Consider the following 6,048-nt stretch of genomic DNA (forward strand, 5'->3'; position numbering starts at 1 on the left):
GGGCACCTTAACCCACATCGATTGTGAAGCAAGTGAGAAATAAACTTCTATTTGGCTAAACCTCTCAGATGTTAAGTGTTGAAGCCATGTGTTTAGTAGCGAGTTAACATTACTGTAACTTGTACAGATCTTTTGACCTGACTCAATTTTTGCTGGTGCAGAAGACACACAGGAGGAACAATCCTTTCTTCTGAATACCTCACAAAGCTTTCAGCCTGTCCTGACATTCATTTCCAACCCTCCCGTAGGGCATGTGGAAGATGCTCAAAAAGTGATCTCTAAGCCCCACTCTCTTTGTTACACCTATCTCCATCTGAAAAAAAAAATCAAATTTCTAAACTTTTCTAAGGAAACTTGTTTCCCCTGCCATCGGGGCCAATGACTTACAAAGTAGAGACTAAAATACTGAAAAATATTTCATAACTGAATTTTCTCTCCTAAAGAAATTACACTAATAAACTTCCAAAACAAGGGAAGTAAGAGACGGAGAGAGAAGTGTAGAGAATACTTCTATCAGCCTCCCAAAAGAAGAGTGATCTTTCTCAGATATACTGTTTTCTTTTGTGTGTGAGTTAAATTAAAATACATTTTCCATAGATCAGCCAACGTCTGAATGAAAGGCCAAATCAGGAAAGAGTGAGCCTGTCTAGAAAATAAAACAGTGGTGTATAAAAGTTAAGCATTAACCTGGTTTTGCAGCTGTAGCGTTCTCCAGGGAGCTGTGTATTTTCTATCCTTGTTCTTCCCAGAGAAAAGAGAAAGAAAATAGCATCCTCAAATGCTCTTCTAATTCTCACAGTCATTACCTCTTTCCCTCTTGCTCCTTATTTCTCTCTCTCACATACAAGCACACACACATTACAGTTTCTAATCATCCACCAACACAAGAGAATAATGGACATCCTTTGCCATAAGACAGCTAAAAGGTGATGGGGGTGGGGAAGAGGGGCAAACTACCCTTTGCCCCAGGAGGGAGCTCTTCTGGCCCGAAGGTAATAGCGCAACACTGCCCCACAGGTCATTGGACCCCACAGTTAAGAAAAAATGCTGGCACGGGCGATAAAAGGGATATAATGAAAATGTAAACGAAAAACTTTATACCAGGCATGGCCTGACAGAGGGAAGATTGATATCCCATGATGCTTTGTCTTGATGAGACAATGAAAAATAACCACCACAGCAGCTGTGTCAATATCAGACTTGGTAATGCACCACTGGCTGTGGGTTTTTATTTAATCCGCTTTGCTTTAAGATGATAACGGTTGTTACTTTTCAGTGCCTGTCTGTCAGCGCCCAGCATTGCAATATTCCTCCGCAGCTCTGCGAGCGGGTTTCATTTATTTTAAAATACCATTTCACACACTGCTGACTTTTAACAGTGTTCTGTGTGAGTTTGTGAGATTGAATAGTGACAGAAACAACACTTTTTATGAGAATACAGAATATTAAAAACGGGGCACAATATACAGATGGCAGTTTTCACTACAGCTTGTTTTTTTCCCCCTTGCTTCTGCTACTGAGCTTTCCCACTGAATGCATTTGTAGTAACACCATAAATGTCACTTTCACTGACTGCCTTTTGGCATTTTATTTAAATGGAATTCAGCTCTGGCTTGCTGCTGCCGCTGTTGCTGCTGCCGTTACTGACTTGTTTTTAGGGTGGCTCCCCGTTTTACAAAATCATCCCGTTGGCTTCCTTCCTCATGGCCCCCAAAAAGGAAATATATGAAAAACCTCTCAAACCGTAAACCCTTGGCAAAGACTCAAAGTCCAAGGATTCTGAAAGACTTTACCAGGGAGATTACTGTAGCCATATGTGTTTGGTCTTCGCAGCCATGGCTCAGTGGAAAACACTTCTGAACTATAGGAATACTCCTGATTGGGAGCTAAGATACTTCATCAGTGGGGAGGGGAGGGAGGACCAGCACACAGAGACCATTTTCCACTGAATGCGACGGAAAACACTTGGAGAGACAGGGCTCTGAGTGACTTATCTAGGCCTAGTTTCTATTATTACTGACTTGAAATACTTCGGTTGGGACGTTTTACCCGGGCCCTGGCTTCTCTCCATCGTTCCTATCTTGGCAGGTACATGCTTATGCTGCTGGAACTCGAGACAGGTAGAGAGGTGGTATGTTGCTGCCAACATGATGTTGACATGTGCAGATTCCCCTCTCTCCTTTTACTCCTGCACAAAACATCCATTGCTTCATCAGTTCCAGACACTAAGTAGAATAGACAGGGGTAGTGAAGCCTTTTCCCGGGAGAACCTGTAATTTGGGGAAAGCTGGCTTCTTGACTAGGTCAAATGAGACTAGAAATGATCTGCTTAATCCAGCCATATAGATGTGTCCACATCTCACAGTCTTAGGCCTGAATCAAAGAGCCTAAGAGATTTCTAGCTGAGAGCTCAAATTTTCAGAAAATTGGAATTTTTCATAGAAAAAAAGTAAAGAAAGTATAATTCAAAGCCTCAGTTCTAGCCTCTGGACTGTAACATTCATCACCTTTGTGTACAACTCCCTTTAGAAACAAGCAAAGCTGGGAATATTTGGTAGGTTCATAAGCATTTTTACAGACTGGACCAGTTTTTGAAGATGTCTGAAAGTCTGTCTTAATCTCTTTGTATCCTTTTAATTATAAAAGTTAGAGTTGGTAAGGGGTGGGAGGCTAGGGAGAAACCCACAAAATAAACTTTTGAATCTCTTTGTTTTGAATTATTTATGCTTCTTTTCTTTCTTTCTTTCTTTTTTTTTTTTTTTGAGACAGAGTATTGCTCTGCTGCCCAGGCTGGAGTGCAGTGGCCATCTGGGCTCACTGCAAGCTCCGTCTCCTGGGATCACACCATTCTCCTGCCTAAGCCTCCCGAGTAGCTGGGACTACAGGTGCCTGCCACCACGCCCGGCTAATTTTTTGAATTTTTAGTAGAGACGGGGTTTCACCTTGTTAACCAGGATGGTCTCGATCTTCTGACCTCGTGATCTGCCCATCTTGGCCTCCCAAGGTGTTGGGATTACAGGCGTGAGCCACTGCGCCCAGCCTGCTTATTTTCAAATTAACTTCTATAAACCTGGCAGAAGTACTGAAGTAAATAAAGATAACATGACAGTAAGTTAGGTCATCACAATATTTAAATAAATGTATGAAATGAAACTACTCAAGACCCTATATCGAGAAATAAAGGATATAAAAAAAGAGAAAATGGAAGTGGAATCCAGGCAGAGACAACATCTCATACTATTTCTGTATTTCGAATAACACCTAACACAGAAGTCTGTCTCTTCATAGGCATTCGCATCTCAGTGAATGGAAAAAACATCTAAACAATTTTCTTAGACAAAAATCTTGGGTGTCATTCTTAACTCTTCCTTGTTTGGCAACTTCTCTTCCAATCAATCACTAAGTTCTGACAAGAGATCTACTTAATGTGATTTAAATGCATCTGTTTCTCTGCATCCCCACTGCTCTCATGTTAATGTGTATCATTGCTGATGCAGCAGTAGTTTCCTTGTCTTCTTTTTTTCTTCAGATCCATCCTTAATAATGTCACCTGAATAATATTCTAAAACAAACATCTAGTCATGCACCATTCTTTGTATATTAGACATCATGAAAAAAGTTTTCTCTGAGTACTTGAGCTCATAGCAATCTCTATCCTCGTTTACTTACTGTAAATGTCTCTCATTTGACTTGGTCTGTGTTTATTGTCCTTTTAAAATCTTCCCATATGCATATGTCTTTTCTCCTCCTTAGAATGTAAGAGATCACATTCATGTTTTTTTGGTACACTCTATAATACCAAGTTGGGTGTTGGGCCCAGTACCATGACATCAATAAATGATCAATAAATATTCATAGAGTTTGCTAAATATTTGAATTGGTCTAGCATGTAGTGTAGCCCCTGATAGAGTTAGCCCTAATAAACCTGTTGAATCTAAGGCACTAGTAATTATGCAGCAAAAGAGAAGCTCTCCATTATGTATGGTGGTAACCAGGATGTTTAGCCAAGCTTAGAAGTGGGGGAAAAAAGCCCCTGTATGAGCATAGAAATCTGGGTTTGCCTAGAAAATATGGTATTTCTACCTCCAAATCTTTTGCTTCACAACATAGCATTTTTTTTTTTTTTTTTTAGTTTGAGACTTGAATTGAGCTCAGCGACTCTTCTCTGGGGCTGTTTATTTATTTGTTCATTTTATTCAGTTTTATTTTAGGCTCAGAGATACATGTGGAGGTTTGTTATATACAAAAATTGAATGTTGCAAGGGTTTGGTGTACAGATTATTTTGTCACCCAGGTAATTGGCATAGTACCTGATAAAAAGGTTTTTGACCCTCACCCTCAAGTAGGCCCTCGTGTATGTTGTCCCTTTCCTTGTGTCCATGTGTACTCAATGTTTAGTTCCCACTTAAAAGGGAGAACATGCGGTATTTGGTTTTCTGTTCCTATGTTAGTTTGCTTAGGATAATGAACTCCAGCTCCATCCATGTTGCTGCAAAGGACATGATCTCATTCTTTTTGATGGCTACGTAGTATTCTATGATGAGTATGTAACCCCTAGTTCTTATCCAGTCTACCACTATAATTTTTGTAGCTACCATTGATAGGCATTTAGGCTGGTTCCATGTCTTTGCTACTGTGAATAGTACTGTGATGAACATATGCAAGAATATGTCTTTGTGGCAGAATGATTTGTATTCCTTTGGATATATATCCAGTAATGGGATTGCTGGGTCAAATGGTAATTCTGTTTTAGGTTCATTGAGAAATCACCACATTGTTTTCCACAATAGGTGAACTAATTTACATTCCCACCAGCAGTGTATAAGTGTTCCCTTTTCTCTACTGCCTTGCCAGTATCTGTTATTTTTTGATTTTTTAAATAATAACTTTTCTGACTGGTGTGAGTTGTATCTAATCATGATTTTGATTTGCATTTCTCTAATGATTAGTGATGTTGAGCATTTTTTCATACTCTTCTTGGCCTCACATATATCTGCTTTTGAAAAGTGTCTGTTCATATCTTTTGCCAACTTCTTAATGGGATTGTTTTCTTTTTCTTCTTGTAAATTTGTTTAAGTTTCTTGTAGATTCTGGATATTAGAACTTTATCAGATGGAAACCATCCATCTGATGCAAACTATCCATCTGATAGTTTGCAAATATTTCCTCCTATTCTGTAGGTTGTCTGTTTACTCTCTTGATAGTTTCTTTTGCTATGTAGAACTCCATAGTTTAATTAGGTCTCCTTTGTCAATTTTTGTTTTTGTTGCAGTTGCTTTTAGTGTCTTTATCACGAAATCTTTGCCAGGTCCTATGTCCAGAATGATATTTTCTAGGTTATCTTCCAGGCTTTTTATATTTTTAGGTTTTATATTTAAGTCTTTAATCCATCTTGAGTTGATTTTTGTAGATGGTGTAAGAAAAGGGTCCAGCTTCAATCTTCTGTATATGGCTAGCTCTGGGACTATTTAGAAGAGCTAGACACATCTTCTCTTACCACCTTACTAGTAAGGTAAGGCAGAAAGGGGTGGTGGAGTCTTCCTCCTTTCAAAGGTTTATAAACAGCCTGCTCCTTTCTGGAAGGGAAAATTAGAATTGGATACAGTGAAATCTAAGTGAATCTTATCTCTAAATTTTCTTTTCTGGCACTGACTCTTTTATCCTTTAGGATTTTCCATTAATTAAATGTTAATTAATGTTTATAATTAATTTGAATGTCTAATTTACTTTTTGATGGAAATATCTATTACTTTGACATTTTTGTGTTTATTGGCATAGCATTTCTGCTTTTTAGGATTTCTGGAAGCTTTCCGTAGTCTGTCTCCATCTCTTGGTCTTTTGCTTTTTCTCTGTGTGTTTCTCAGCATCTACTCTCCTCAGTTACTATCAGAGTAATCGTCTTCGTAGGTCCCACCTCTTTTCATGACCTCTGCTTATGATCAGAAGGAAAAAATATCAGAGAGAAAAAAAATCAGCTAAAACAAATTTACTCAAACAATAATGCAGCCCCAAACCCTTTTCCTTTAGCATTCATAAGAAATATAAAAC

At 38.7% G+C, this 6,048-nt stretch overlaps 1 annotated feature.

The window, feature by feature from the left end:
• Nucleotides 866-1,767: an enhancer, noted in NCBI's record as "VISTA enhancer hs762". NCBI's record gives its function as "enhancer in: hindbrain (rhombencephalon)[5/7] | midbrain (mesencephalon)[5/7]" and the evidence as "EXISTENCE:transgenic organism evidence [ECO:0001131][PMID:17130149]".

The sequence above is a fragment of the Homo sapiens genome, chromosome 1, assembly GCF_000001405.40.
Source record: "Homo sapiens chromosome 1, GRCh38.p14 Primary Assembly".
NCBI lineage: Eukaryota > Metazoa > Chordata > Mammalia > Primates > Hominidae > Homo > Homo sapiens.